Here is a 15,775-nt window from a genome sequence, read left to right as displayed (position 1 = left end):
TTTCATTATTGATACCACTAGAGGTCTCAAAATATGTGGGTGATGTTAGCTTTGGCGTTTCTTTTTTTTTTTCTGGTTTTTTGTTTTGTTTTTTTAAGTCGTGAAGGCGAAGACATTTTAGGTTAGAGTACAAGAAAATTGAGATAATTATTTTCTTGAATAAGCACATTGCTGTCATGCCATATTGGATCAGAGTTAGTATGCATGTACCCTGCAGACAGACATTCACACCAGCTGCCTCCCACCTCTACATAACTGAGAATTAAGAATTGGAAACTTTCCACAAAAATATCCTAATTGGCTCAAAGCACCCAGACATCCAGCCAGTTGCTGTTCTGGTTAATTGTGTGAGCTACCTCCTTCTATTCAAACTGAAACAAAATGAAAAGGAGGAAGGAGAAGCTTGCCACTTCTTCCATGCTCAACCTCGCTAATCTATTTTTAGCCTTAGTCAAATTTGGTGCAGAGGCAATAGTTCCGATTTTATTGCTACAAAGACAATATACTAAAATCAAGATGTTAGGAACAAAATGTAGGTGAAGTTAAAGGACTCCATTTCCTATGTTCTATCCTGCTGTCCTAGCCGTTTTCCCACCATTTCTGAAGGTGAGAGAGAGAGACAGCATACCAAAAGACAAAAGGTGGCAGATGGTACAATGGAACATTCCCCTTAGAAACTTCCAGAAGTATAAAGAACTCCAAGGAACTGAGGAAGCCACTCTGTTCTGTACATCTACACTTGCCTTCTCATTCTTCAATTTCCCTGATCAACTCATGCTCTGATATAAACTTCAAAAAAATTATACCTCTATCCTAGGTTTCCTTCCCCCAAACCTCACCCACCCTATTGCTCACTTCTCTGCGAAAACAAAATAAAGCACAGCAACAAATCAAGGGCATCAAAAGCAAACAATTTACACCCTTAAGAAAGGGGTGGGCTAATCTTCAGGCTGAACTGGAATAAGCAGTCATTGTTTCAGTGCCCTAATTTTGTTCATTTGACATTTTGTGGCTGTCTTCTGAGCTCTTGGGGTCAGCTAAGTTTGGTTAGGTTTAAAGTACAAAATATATGTGTTAAGGATAATTGAAAACTTAGAACATAGGTAAGAAGCCAAATATCCAAATACACCTTGATCGAAAAAATCATATTGGAACTCAGAAGGAATTCTGCAGATAACACAGTAATGCACACAAGAATATGTCCACAATTGAAACATAAGCTAAAAGGTACTAAAGCCTGATCTGCTAAAAAGTCACTTCAAATAAATACACCTGGAGCAATGCATTGTCTTCATGCATCAGTTTTTTCTTCTGCAAATAGCCTTTCCTATGGCCACAGGTTTTCTTTGAGGAATAATGACAATTGTGATTATAAAAACTTTGAAAAAATGGAATATTAAAGCAAATAATAATATTGATTAATAAATTCCATAGATCTACTCTCCCTTTAGGCTGTTCCCGATTACCAATATTAATATTTTTCTCAAATATTTGCCCTTAAAATCTCTTTTCCATCCTTTAGTTGTGACTTTTACATTATTTTCATAATCTATAAAAGCAGTCATAAAAAAGGGTCAGAATTTTTTTCAGTGATCCCTGAACTTGCTGCTTACTCGAACCTCTGTGCCTTCCTTGCTCATACTATTGTCCCAGTTCAGCATCAATACTATCTTAGGCCCCAGTAAACCCGAAAGAACGTTTCCTTCATGAGATTTATTTACTTTTTTTTTTTTTTTTTTTTTTTGGGACGGAGTCTCGCTCTGTCGCCAAGGCTGGAGCGCAGTAGCACAATCTCGGCTCACTGCAACCTCCACCTCCCGGGTTCAAGTGATTCTCCTGCCGCAGCCTCCTGAATAGCTGGGATTACAGGTTTGCGACACCATGCCCAGCTAATTTTTGTATTTTTAGTAGAGACGGGGTTTCACCATATTGGCCAGGCTGGTCTCGAACTCCTGACCTTAAGATCCACCCGCCTTGGCCTTCCAAAGTGCTGAGATTACAGGTGTGAGCCACCTAAGAGGCCGCGCCCGGCCTAAGAGATTTATTTTTATGTTTATTAACTTTGTTTACTGTCTGTCCTTCCACACTAGAATGCAAGTTTCAAGAGGGTGAGGATTTCTCTGTTAATCTTCTGTACCTAAAACAGGGCCTGGCATATAGTTAAGTGTTTAATACATATTCATTCAATAAAAGAGAATGGAGAGGAGCACCTAAAAGAATAATTTGAGCCAGATCTCATGAAGAAAAAAAGAATTCTTCTAAAACCACATTTTTATGTTCAGCTAGCATAATATTTAAACCAAAAAGGGATGGCTCAGTTTGGTCTAGATTTGTATAACAAGAACCCCTATAATAGCAATACCTTCATCAGCAATTGCAGTGGCCATGGAATTATCCATTTCTACACCTTGTATTTCTGATATCTCCTCTGGAGTGTCACTGAAATCTCAAAGATTTTTGTCATCTAGTTTTTATCAATATCCCCTATGTTTATGCCCAATTAAAATCAGCACTTTTCTATTCTGCCATTCTAAAGCTTGACTTAACCACAGTGCTTCTGAAGGCTGTCTGCAAGATTTGACTTAGATAATACAACATTGGCCCTCTCTAAATGCCTCTTTTAATATGGTGCTAATTATCTATTGCTGCCTAACAAATGACCCCACAATTTAACAGCTTAAAACAACAAACATTTATTATCTCACAGTTTCTGTGAATCAGTAATCTTGGGATGGCTTAGCTGAGTCCTCAGAAGGCTATAGTCAGCCAACTGGGGGAGGATCCATTTCCAAACTCAGTCCTAGGGTTGCGAGAAGGATTCAACATTCCTTGTGGGCTGCTGGCCCCAGACCTCCCCTCAGTTCTTTACCACAGAAACCTCAGCCTGGGGCAGCTCACAACAGGGCAGCTGGTTTCATCCAAGGGAGAAAGACAGGGAGCATGAGAGAGTAAACAAGACAGATGCCAATCTTTTTTGTAATCTAATCTCAGAAGTAACATCCATCATTTTGCTGTACTCTGTTTCTTGGAAGCAAGTCATCAGATTTAGCCAAAGCTTGGGTGGAGGAAATTACACAAGGGCATGAACACCAAGGGATGGGGATCATTAAAACCCATCTTAGGGCCGGGCACAGTGGCTCACGCCTGTAATCCCAGCACTTTGGGAAGCCAAGGCGGGTGGATCACGAGTTCAGGAGTTTGAGACGAGCCTGGCCAAGATGGTGAAATCCTGTCTCTACTAAAAATACCGAAATTAGCTGGGCGTGGTGGCACGCACCTGTAATCCCAGCTAATTGGGAGGCTGAGGCAGGAGAATCACTTGAACCCGGGAGGTGGAGGTTGCAGTGAGCCGAGATCATGCCACTGCGCTCCAGTCTGGGCGACAGAGTGAGACTCTGTTTCAACAACAACAACAACAAACCATCTTAGAAACTACCTACCACAAATATCTTCATATACTGCTTGCACTCTAAGTTCTCATTTTCAAGGGCTTCGAGTTTAGTTTATAAGATAAAAAGCATGGAAAAATTAAGACCTTATTCCAGTTCTTCCTTTCCACACTGCTGTTTCAACTAATGAATCTTTGATGATCTTGGATGATAAAATTTCATGAATTTACAATAACTTTTGCAAAAGATCTTTGGCTTAAGTGTTTCAGGCCTCTGTAGTTAAAGAACTATTGACTTTTAGAACAAACACAATCAGTGTAGTTAGTTCATTGTTGGATCTGAGGATCTATTTCAAGAACACCTATTTTTTTTCTAAGTGCTAAGGCTACTGCTCTGCTTGTTTCTGGAGTTAATTTTGATTGATCTTGGCTAGAATTTTCTCTCAAGATTCAGCTTCCTCCTTTATTTCTACTTGGAATGATTTCTACCAAGAATATCCTGAGGAACACTAGTTATATAAGACGTGCCTCTATTTCTGTGGTAAAATAAGTCTAGGAAACACTGTATATTGTATGAGTCACAATATATATTAGCATAGTAAAGATCCTAAAAGTCCAGCAGTAAAGAAACCTGTTTACTCTCAACTTAGAATTTCCCAAATGTATATAACCTATAAATCCTTTTACATGTAATGCTTATTAACATTCTACGGAAGTAGAGTCCTGCTGAATATTTTTAGGGGAAATAATGCCTTGGAACAACAACAACAAAAATCTACTTCTAGCTGGGCACAGTGGCTCACACCTGTAATCCCAGCACTTTGGGAGGCTGAGACAGGCAGATCACTTGAGGTCAGGAGTTTGAGACCAGCCTGGCCAACATGGTGAACCACCCCCGCCATCTCTACCAAAAATATAACAATTAGCTGGGTGTGGTGGTGCACTCCTATAATCCCAGCTACTCGGGAGGCTGAGGCAGGAGAATCTCTTGAACCTGAGAGGCGGAGGTTGTGGTGAGCCCAGATGGTGCCACTGCACTCCAGCCTGGGCGACAGAGTGAGACTCCATCTCAAAAAAAATAAGGAAGAAGAAAAAGAAAAGAAAACAATCTACTTCTGGCACTAGCAATCAGGTGAGTATTGATACAATGGTGAAAAGACAGATACTGGATCCCTCTTGTAAACAACCAGTTCTTTAGAAAACTTCTTGGGAAATATCTTCAAAACTATAAAACGGAAACTGTCAGAAGATATAATACATTAAGTACTAATTCTAAATGATGTAAACAGTTGAACATTCATGGTATTGCTTCCATTTTAAGAAACTTCAAATATGCTGTAATTGTTATAGGTAACAAAAATTTACCATCACATGAACAATCAGTTTCACATTTAGTCCAGTAATAAGTACTGCTATGTATGGTTCTGGAGTTCATTTCAATCAATCTCGAATAGAATTTTGTCTTAAGATTTCCTTTCCTCCTGCAGAATATTTGTTCTAAGTCCTTAAATGCAAACATAGCACTGCATGGATTAAAGATGAACACAAATGTGCTACTCCTCTCTTCAAAAGGTGGAGTCTGTTTGCCTTCCCCTTAAATCTAACCTGGCCTTGTGACTTGCTTTGACCAATTAGAAATGCAGCAAAAGTGCAATTGCTCTAGTCTGGACCCTAAATTTGCTTTTGCTCTCCCAAAAGCCAGCCACCATGCTGCAAAGAAACTTGAGCCAGACTATGGAATGATGAGAGGCCACATGGAGAGGGTGACAAAGACTCCGTCCTTGACCAAACTTGAGTCAGGCCCCTCTGATTCCTCTTTTTGACTAGGCCCCAACCTTGCCTCGTCCTTGGCCTGCTTAGTTCCGTTTTAGCAAGAATCTTGCTGGGTCAATTTCATAAAAATCCCCAACTTTCCGTATGAGATCAGCCTGGCCTGCCTTCAGCAAGAATCCTCTCAAGTCAGTTTGGCCACAATCCCCCTAACCTTGATGTTTCCTCTTAGTAACTGTCTATCCACTGACTCCCACCCCTGCTCCTTGGCTACAAATCCCCACTTTTCCTTGTTGTATTTGGAGTTGAGCCCAATCTCTCTCTCCTAATACAAAACTCCATGGTAGTAGTTCCCCTGAAAAGTTTGCATTACCATCTGTAACAAATGTCATGAATAACATTTTTCTTTAATAAAAGATCATGGACATGTGGAAGATGAGAAAGGATACTTGTGTTCCAGCCCCAGCCAAGCTCTTAGCTTCGTGGTTCTCAACCCCTGGCAATTTTGCCTTCAGGGACATTTAGCAATGTCCAGGGATATTTTTGGTTGTCACTTCTAGCATCTAGTAGGTTGAGGCCAGAGATGCTGCTCAACAGCCTGCAATGCACAGGACGCAACAACAAACAATTATCCAGCCCCGAATCTAGTGCCAAGCTTGAGAAATCCTATCTTAGCTGAATATAGCTGTATGAGTCACCACAGCTTTACCACATGGAACAGATTGCCCGGATGAGCCTAGTCAACCCACAGAATTGTGAGAAATAATAAATAGTTGCTGTTTTAAGCAACTCTTGGGGTAGTTTTAGTGCTGTGCTGTTGCTAAACTGGCTGGGAAGGGATGTGGGAGGGAACTCTGATTTGTAGCATTTCTAGTTGCCCATGGTATAAATACTCCTACTGTGGCCAGTTTTAGGTTATCAGCACAAGCCACTGAACTCAAGGTTGGGAAGAGATGTGCACAACCAGCTCTTATGAGCCAATGGGAAATGATTAAATTGTTATATTATAGTAGGCAACGGAGGCAACATCCCATGTACAAGATCTTCTTATGCCTGAAATTCTAGGTATGGCCACTTCCTATATGCTGTTGATCACCTAGTCATAGTTCTCTACTTCTATATTGTGTTAACATTTCTACTAGAAAATTCTATTTTAAGTGCTGACATACTGATTCTGCAGCCTTCCTGGTTTGGGCCATTTTTTTGCACCATTAAAGTTGCCAAGTTGGGTTTAGCCAACAGTCTCCCACAGAGGATCACAGCATGGACTCTACTCCAAACCAATCCTACCACACTCTCCAATTTGTAATATTGTGGCCCATGGTCTGGTTTGGGTTAAAACATTGCCCTTGGTAATCTGTGGGGTTTCTTTGTAAGAGGAAACACCTGATCAATACCTAAAGGAGCTGCTCAAAAGTGGAAGCCAGGGTGATAAGAGTACCACTGTGTATTGTTTGGACCTACACTACAGTGTGCATTTGTTAAAAAAACAAAACAAAACAAAACAAAAAAACAAACCTTTCCCTTCAAGATAGAGGAAATTCCTTCTAGCATATAAGCAGAAAACATTTGTTATTTCCTAGAGCAGGCACTTCTCAGGTTTCAGGGTAGATGCCAGCTTTAGATCCAATGAAGAGTTATTATAGTTTTGTGGTTAGGGGCGTGTGTACGGAGCCAGACTTTCCGAGTTGCAGTTTTGGCTTGCTAGCTGTGTGATCTTGGACAAGATATTTGTGAAATGGGGATAATGGTATCTATTTCAGAGTTAAGACTCATAATGTATGTGTAGGGCCTAGCGCATAGTAAGCTCTCAATAAATAGTGGTTGTTATTACCAGGAGCATTTACATTTTATATTCTTTGTCTGTTGCTATTTGCCTTTTTTTCTTTTTAACTGTAAGTGCTATTTAACTTTCTCCTTTTTAACGGTAAACAAGATTTTTTTTTCTAAAAGCAGTACTAGTTCTAGGTCAAGGATAAACTCTTTTCAGCATACAACTGTAGTCTCATCCCAGAACAAACCACACCCCACTTCCTGTTGCATGCAGATACAGATACCTTAAAGGGACAGTTTGTACCAGGGACCCATGCAGGATGCTAAGATTGCAACAGAGCGCACTCTGGTGTACAAAGCTGGGAGCCGGTGGGGAGGAGATTATGAGAAGCAATGCCTTGCCCAAGTTTGAAGTTGATTTGTCCAGCTCTAAGAAGTTATTGTAAGTTACTAGATAAGAATGATGTGATGAAAACATCGTTTTGGAAGAATACTCTGATAGTAACATTCAGGATACATTTGATAGGAAAAGTGGTGACAAGGAAGCCAGCCGAAAATATATTGTATCATCGTTGGGATGAGACGATGAGAATTTGCAGTTAGGGAGTTAAAAGGAGAACCGAGGAAAAGGATCACTATAGGAGACATTTTAAAGGGAAAAAAAAATCATAGTACTTAAAGACAAAAATTTGATCTTAAAGAAAAGCCATCCCACCATCTTATTCTGTTTAGATCATACCATAAGTTTCAGTACCCACAAATAAATTGCTAGCATTTTCTATTCTAGTAAAGCCTGTAAGTGGAAAAAATAACCCAATATTTGCTATGTTGGTTTGTTCTCTTTTAAAGGACAAAATTAATCTACTATGAATCAAGACTTGAAAGTTCTAGGTGAACATAGCACTTATTCCAAAACTGACCACATAGTTGGAAGTAAAGCACTCCTCAGCAAATGTAAAGGAACAGAATTGTAACAAACTGTCTCTCAGACCACAGTGCAATCAAACTAGAACTCAGGATTAAGAAACTCACTCAGAGCTGCTCAACTGCATGGAAACTGAACAACCTGCTCCTGAAGGACTACTGGGTACATAACAAAATGAAGGCAGAAATAAAGATGTTCTTTGAAACCAATAAGAACAAAGACACAACATACCAGAATCTCTGGGACACATTTAAAGCAGTGTGTAGAGGGAAATCTGTAGCACTAAATGCCCACAAGAGAAAGCAGGAAGATCTAAAATGGACACCCTAACAACACAATTAAAAGAACTAGAGAAGCAAGAGCAAACACATTCAAAAGCTAGCAGAAGGCAAGAAATAACTAAGATCAGAACAGAATTGAAGGAGATAGAGACACAAAAAACCCTTCAAAAAATCAATGAATCCAGGAGCTGGTTTTTTGAAAAGATCAACAAAATTGATAGACTTCTAAGAAGACTAATAAAGAAGAAAAGAGAGAAGAATCAAATAGACGCATTAAAAAATGATAAAGGGGATATCACCACCGATCCCACAGAAATACAAACTACCATCAGAGAATACTATAAACACCTCTATGCAAATAAACTAGAAAATCTAGGAGAAATGGATAAATTCCTGGACACATACACACTCCAAAACAAGGAAGAAATTGAATCCCTGAATAGACCAATAACAGGCTCTGAAATTGAGGCAATAATTAAGAGCCTACCAACCAAAAAAAACCCCAGGACCAGATGGACTCACAGCCGAATTCTACCAGAGGTACAAAGAGGAGCTGGTACCATTCCTTCTGAAACTATTCCAATCAATAGAAAAAGAGGGAATCCTCCCTAACTCATTTTATGAGGCCAGCATCATCCTGATACCAAAGCCTGGCAGAGACACAACAAAAAAAAAGAATTTTAGACCAACATCCCTGATGAACATCGATGCAAAAATCCTCAATAAAATACTGGCAAACCGAATCCAGCAGCACATCAAAAAGCTTATCCACTATGATCAAGTGGGCTTCATCCCTGGGATGCAAGGCTGGTTCAACATACGCAAATCAATAAACGTAATCCATCATATAACAGAACCAAAGACAAAAACCACATGATTATCTCAATAGATGCAGAAAAGGCCTTCGACAAAATTCAACAATGCTTCATGCTTAAAAACTCTCAATAAATTAGGTATTGATGGGACGTATCTCAAAATAATAACAGCTATTTATGACAAATCCACAGCCAATATCATACTGAACGGGCAAAAACTGGAACCATTCCCTTTGAAAATGGCACAAGACAGGGATACCCTCTCTCACCACTCCTATTCAACATAGTGTTGGAAGTTCTGGCCAGGGCAATCAGACAGGAGAAAAAAATAAAGGGTACTCAATTATGAAAAGAGGAAGTCAAATTTCCCCTGTTTGCAAATGACATGATCGTATATTTAGAAAACCCCATCGTCTCAGCCCAAAATCTCCTTAAGCTGAAAAGCAACTTCAGCAAAGTCTCAGGATACAAAATCAATGTGCAAAAATCACAAGCATTCTTATAGCCAATAACAGACAAACAGAGAGCCAAATCATGAGTGAACTCCCATTCACAATTGCTTCAAAGAGAATAATATACCTAGGAATCCAACTTACAAGGGATGTGAAGGACCTCTTCAAGGAGAATTACAAACCACTGCTCAATGAAATAAAAGAGGATACAAACAAATGGAAGAACATTCCATGCTCATGGATAGGAAGAATCAATATCGTGAAAATGGCCATAATTCCCAAGGTAATTTATAGATTCAATGCCATCCCCCTCAAGCTACCAATGACTTTCTTCACAGAATTGGAAAAAACTACTTTAAAGTTCATATGGAACCAAAAAAGAGCCCGCATTGCCAAGACAATCCTAAGCCAAAAGAACAAAGCTGGAGGCATCATGCTACCTGACTTCAAACTATAGTACAAGGCTACAGTAACCAAAACAGCATGGTACTGGTACCAAAACAGGGATATAGACCAATGGAACAGAACAGAGGCCTCAGAAGTAATACCACATATCTACAACCATCTGATCTTTGACAAACCTGACAAAAACAAGCAATGGGGAAAGGATTCCCTATTTAATAAATGATGCTGGGAAAACTGGCTAGCCATATGTAGAAAGCTGAAACTGGATCCCTTCCTTACATCTTATACAAAAATTAATTCAAGATAGATTAAAGACTTAAATGTCAGACCTAAAACCATAAAAACCCTAGAAGAAAACCTAGGCAATACCATTCAGGCCACAGGCATGGGCAAGGACTTCATGTCTAAAACACCAAAAGCAATGGCAACAAAAGCCAAAATTGACAAATGGGATCTAATTAAACCAAAGAGCTTCTGCACAGCAAAAGAAACTACCACCAGAGTGAACAGGCAACCTGCAGAATGGGAGAAAATTTTTGCAATCTACCCATCTGACAAAGGGCTAATATTCAGAATCTACAAAGAACTTAAACAAATTTACAAGAAAAAATCAAACAACCCCATCAAAAAGTGGGCAAAGGATATGAACAGACACTTCTCAAAAGAAGACATTTATGCAGCCAACAGACACATGAAAAAATGCTCGTCATCACTGGACGCCAGAGAAATGCAAATCAAAACCACAATGAGACACCATCTCACACCAGTTAGAATGGCGATCATTAAAAAGTCAGGAAACAACAGGTGCTGGAGAGGATGTGGAGAAATAGGAACATTTTTACACTGTTGGTGGGACTGTAAACTAGTTCAACCATTGTGGAAGTCAGTGTGGTGATTCCTCAAGGATCTAGAAGTAGAAATACAATTTGACCCAGCCATCCCATTACTGGGTATATACCCAAAGGATTATAAATCATGCTGCTATAAAGACACATGCACACGTATGTTTATTGCGACACTATTCACAATAGCAAAGACTTGGAACCAACACAAATGTCCATCAATGATAGACTGGATTAAGAAAATGTGGCATATATACACCATGGAATACTATGCAGCCATAAAAAATGATGAGTTCACATCCTTTGTAGGGACATAGATGAAGCTGGAAACCACCATTCTGAGCAAACTATTGCAAGGACAGAAAACGAAACACCACATATTCTCACTCATAGGTGGCAATTGAACAATGAGAACACTTGGACACAGGGTGGGGAACATCACATACCGGGGCCTGTCGTAGGGTTGGGGGAGCGGGGAGGGATAGCATTAGGAGATATACCTAATGTAAATGACGAGTTAATGGGTTTAGCACACCAACATGACACATATATACATATGTAACAAACCTGCATGTTGTGCACATGTACCCTAGAACTTAAAGTATACTTAAAAAAAAAGAAAAAAAAGAAGAAAGTTCTAGGTGAAATAGGGCATTCTGTCATTAAAAAGCATTGCCCAGTGAGCTAGATGTCTTTTGTATGACTCTGGTTCAAGTTAACAATCCTGAGTTCAACGGTTTCCTGAGATGTTTTTAGATTTCAATCTGAGGAAAAATAAGTACCAGATATTTCCTGCCAAGCGTTCTAAATGACTCTATTTCTCAAACTAGTATTCAGAGAAACTGGGTTCAACATGTATTTATCCAGTATCAACTATGTGCAAAGCTCTGTGATAGATGGATTACAAGCATCTTTCATTTTTCTTGGTTTATAAGCCACAACATTGTCATGGTCACACCATCAACAGGTTAAAAAAACAAGGAACTTTTTTAAGGTCATCTATTTATCCTTGACTTAGATAAGGAATATCTTCTGCCTTCTTGTTTGTAGGTGACAATTGGATTCTCAGTCTTTTCCTTTTGTCTTACCATGAAATAGAAAACTGGCATTGCTCAAATTACCAGATGATTTCTTTTTATTTTTCAATGGCAACTTCATTTAGTTTACTTTCAAAAATATTTACTGAACATACGGTGAAGTCTGTGCCACATCCAAGTGCAAAATGATAGAGAAACAACCCCAGGACATTCTCAAGGAGCTCATAGCCTGGTGAGAGAAAGATACAGATACATCTTTATTCTCATGCCTTTCTTCAAAAGGATTTACAGAGGGGAACAAAAAGAGGTACAATATTAGAATAGAAACAAGTCCATTAGAAACAAGTGAGAAAGGCAAAGGGAAAGCAATGATGGGATCATAGACTAGAGGCAGGGTAATACACAAAATAAACGCAATGAAGACCTGCATGTATTTGCTAAGGATCCACCAAGAATTTGGATCTAAGCTTTTTGGTAATCTCTGTCAAGGGAGAGACAATCCACAAGTTCTGTTACCAAAACACCGGGGTTTCAGTCTAGGTCTTGCTGCTCGTGACACAGAAACTGAATCACTGAGACAATGAGTACTGCCAGGGAAGAAGGCTTTAATTAGGTGCTATGGTCAAGAAGATGGGAGATCAGTCTCAAATCCATCTCTCTGACTGACTAAAATTAGGGGTTTATACAGCAGGAAAGAATTTTAACCATGTGTGGGAAAACAGGAATTAGGGAGGGATGAGAAAAAGGAGCTGTTCACAGGAAGCAAGTGGTCAGTTAGGCCAATGATGATGGGTGAAGGGTCCTGTGTCTCATTGTCCAGACGTGGTGATCTGGTAAGTTTCAGTTCCTTGATACTATCTGGCAGTCCTCATGGTTGGTTTCCCGAGAAAGGAACTCAGATAAGACAAATGTTAACTTTCTCAAGTTTTAAGGGAGATTAATTTTTATGTTTATTCAAAGAAACCATAAACATCTGTTCCATGGGACAACTGGGGTGGTTTCAGTTCCACCAGATAAAAACAGACCAAATGCTCAGGAAAAGCATACCTATTCCTAACGTAAGGCCAAACAAACAAACAAAACCCTCAAGGATCATCCAAAGGCAAATACTCTCTCTCTTTTTTTTTTTTTTTTTTTTGAGACAGAGTCTTACTCTGTTGCCCAGGCTGGAGTGCAGTGGCACATTCTGGGCTCACTGCAACCTCTGCTTCCTGGGTTCAAGTGATTCTCCTGTCTCAACCTCCCGAGTAGCTGGGATTACAGGCATGCCACCACGCCCAGCTAATTTTTGTGTTTTTAGTAGTGACGGGGTTTCACCAAGTTGGCCAGGAAGGTCTTGATCTCTTGACCTCGTGATCTGCCCACCTCGGCCTCCCAAAATGCTGGGATTACAGGCGTAAGCCATGGCATCTGGCCCAAATGCAAATACTATGTGATATACTGAAGGACATTTTCAACACTATCCTTATGGTAAATGTTGTGGGGCTATTTTTTTTCTTTTGACCTCTTTTTTTGGTGTAAATGTAAGGGATAGAAATGCAATTGTATTATATGAATATATTGAGTAATGGTGAAGTCTGGGTTTTTATTGTTTATTATTCCATCACCTAAATAATGTACATTTTACCCATTAAGTAATTTCTCATCACCTATGCCTTTCCCACCTTCCCACCCTTCTGAGTTTCCAATGTCTATCATTCCACACTCTGCCCATGTGGACACATTATTTAGTTCTCACTTATAAGTGATGATATGCAGTATTTGGTTTTCTGTTTCTGAGTTATTTAAGATAATGTCCTCTAGTTCCAGGCGTGTGGCTGCAAAAGACCTGTTTCATTCTTTGTTATGGCTGAGTAGATTATACATATATAATTTTTTCTTTATCTATTCATCCATTGATGGACTTTGGGTTGATTCCATATCTTTGCTATTGTAAACAGTGTTGTGATAAACAAATGAGTGTGGTATCTTTATGATATGATGATTTCCTTTTCATTGGGTAGACACCCAGTGGGATTGCTGGATCTAATGGTAATTCTATTTTTAGTTCCTTGAGAAATCTTCATACTATTTTCTATAGAGGTTGTACTAATTTACATTCCCACCAACAGTGTATAAGTATTCCTTTTTCTCCACATCCTTGCCAACATCTGTTTTTTTTTTTTTTTTACTTTTTTTTAAAGAGAGAGTCTCACTTTATCTCCCAGACTGGAGTGCAATGGTACTGGGTCAGCTCACTGCCACCTCTGCCTCCTGGGTTCAAGCAATGCTCATGCTTCAGCCTCCTGAGTAGCTGGGATTACAGACATGTGCCAACACACCCAACTAATTTTTTGTATTTTTGGTAGAGATGGGGTTTCACCATGTTGGCTAGGCTGGTCTTGAACTCCTGGCACTAAGTGATCCATCTGCCTTGGCCTCCCAAAATGCTGGGATTACAGGCATGAGCCACCACACCCTGCCTTGACGTTTTAATAATAGCTATTCTGACTAATGTACGATAGATTCTCATTGTGGTTTTAATTTGCATTTCTCTGATGATTAGTATGTTGAGCATTTTTTCATATGTTTGTTGGCCATTTGTATGTGTTCCTTTGAAAAATGTCTATTCATGTCCTTTGCCCACTTTTTAATGAGGTTATTTGTTTTGCTGTTGTTGAGTTATTTGAGTTCCTTATATATTCTGGATATTTGCCCCCTGCTGGATACATTGTTTGCAAATATTTTCTCCTTTCTGGAGGCTGTTCGCTGTGTTGATTATTTCTTTTGCTGTGCAGAAGCTTTTGTTTAATTAAGCCCCATTTGCCTGCTTTGTTTTTGTTGCTTGTGCTCTTGTCTTACTCATGAATTCTTTGCCTAGAGCAATATCCAGAAGAGTTTTCACTAAGTTTTCCTCTAGTATTTTTATAGTTTCAGCTCTTACATTTTATTATATTATATCTCAGTATGGGCTGATGGCTTGAAAACCAAACCCCAGTTCAGCAAAAGCAAGTCTACAGAGTTTACTTAAGCAGACAATTTCATTTTGAAGTGGTAAGTACAATGACAAAGATATGCTTAAGGTGCTATGAGATAACAGAGGGGACACAGCTCTGGTTTTATTTTTCAGGGTTGGAGCAGAAATATCATTGAGAAGAGATTCTGGAAAATTCTATTCAATTTCTAAAGGAAATATACACATTTTGTTGCAAACACCTAATTTGCTGCAAATATTTATTATGGATGGAATATTGTGTTTAAAAGACTATCCCATCACAACAAACAAGCTTCATATGAAAAAATCAAAGCAGGTTTTAATTGAAAGATTCTCACTTTCTTTTTACTTTGTATATCTTGTCTTTTCCTTAATATTAAGTATAAGAAATAATAAATTAAGAAAGTAGAGTCTACCTGTCTGAGATGTGAGTGTCTAAAGAATCAATAAGGTTTTAGAGTTATATCAAGTGAAAGCAGATTTTCTCAGAAATCCAAGACCACAAAACAATAGGTGTTCTTTGGAGAATGGTTCTGGTTCCATGTTGAATTGCACTTTTAAAAAATGATTTGGTCAAGAGTTATATCTCTACCTAATAATAGAAAGAGAAGAGTAAAACAGAAAAGGGAATTTTAAACATAAAATAACCTGCACATCTGGTGTCAAAGAAAAAGTCTTAGGTTTCTAAAACATTCAATAAAAAAGAGTAACAAGATTTGCCTTGAAGCAAAAGAAAAATAGAGGGAAGGTAATATGCTTCTATGATTGGTTTTATGAAGGTAGTGTTTTTCTTCAGGATTCAGCCAGGTATGAAAGAAAAGTAGCACGTTCCAACCTTTTCATAGCGTGACTAGCTTCCTCATCAACAGATACAGAGGAGCCTCTGTGCTCAGTCCAGGTTTGTGGCAGACGGGACCTCCACAGCAATGTGATTGGCACTAACACCAGATAACTAAGGATAATATTAGGTTCCCACAGATAAAAATGCACAAAATGAGAATGAGTGGCACAGTTGAGAAATCTGAGACCTCCCTTGCTGACCACCTGAGGACCTGTGGAAACATTTGCATAGACTCCTCTGTCTTGAAGTACTTGTAATTATTTGCTGAGATG

The 15,775-nt window shown here is 39.0% G+C and overlaps 1 annotated feature.

Moving 5' to 3' along the window:
- Window positions 5,198-5,699: an enhancer, noted in NCBI's record as "H3K27ac hESC enhancer chr6:139447769-139448270 (GRCh37/hg19 assembly coordinates)". NCBI's record gives its function as "activates a minimal SCP1, AML or CMV promoter by ChIP-STARR-seq in primed H9 embryonic stem cells {active_cell/tissue: H9 hESC(primed)}" and the evidence as "EXISTENCE:reporter gene assay evidence [ECO:0000049][PMID:30033119]".

Source organism: Homo sapiens, chromosome 6 (assembly GCF_000001405.40).
Source record: "Homo sapiens chromosome 6, GRCh38.p14 Primary Assembly".
Taxonomy (NCBI): Eukaryota; Metazoa; Chordata; class Mammalia; order Primates; family Hominidae; genus Homo; species Homo sapiens.
The sequence above is the reverse complement of the archived record's forward strand: the minus strand, read 5'-3'. Positions and strand labels throughout refer to the sequence as shown.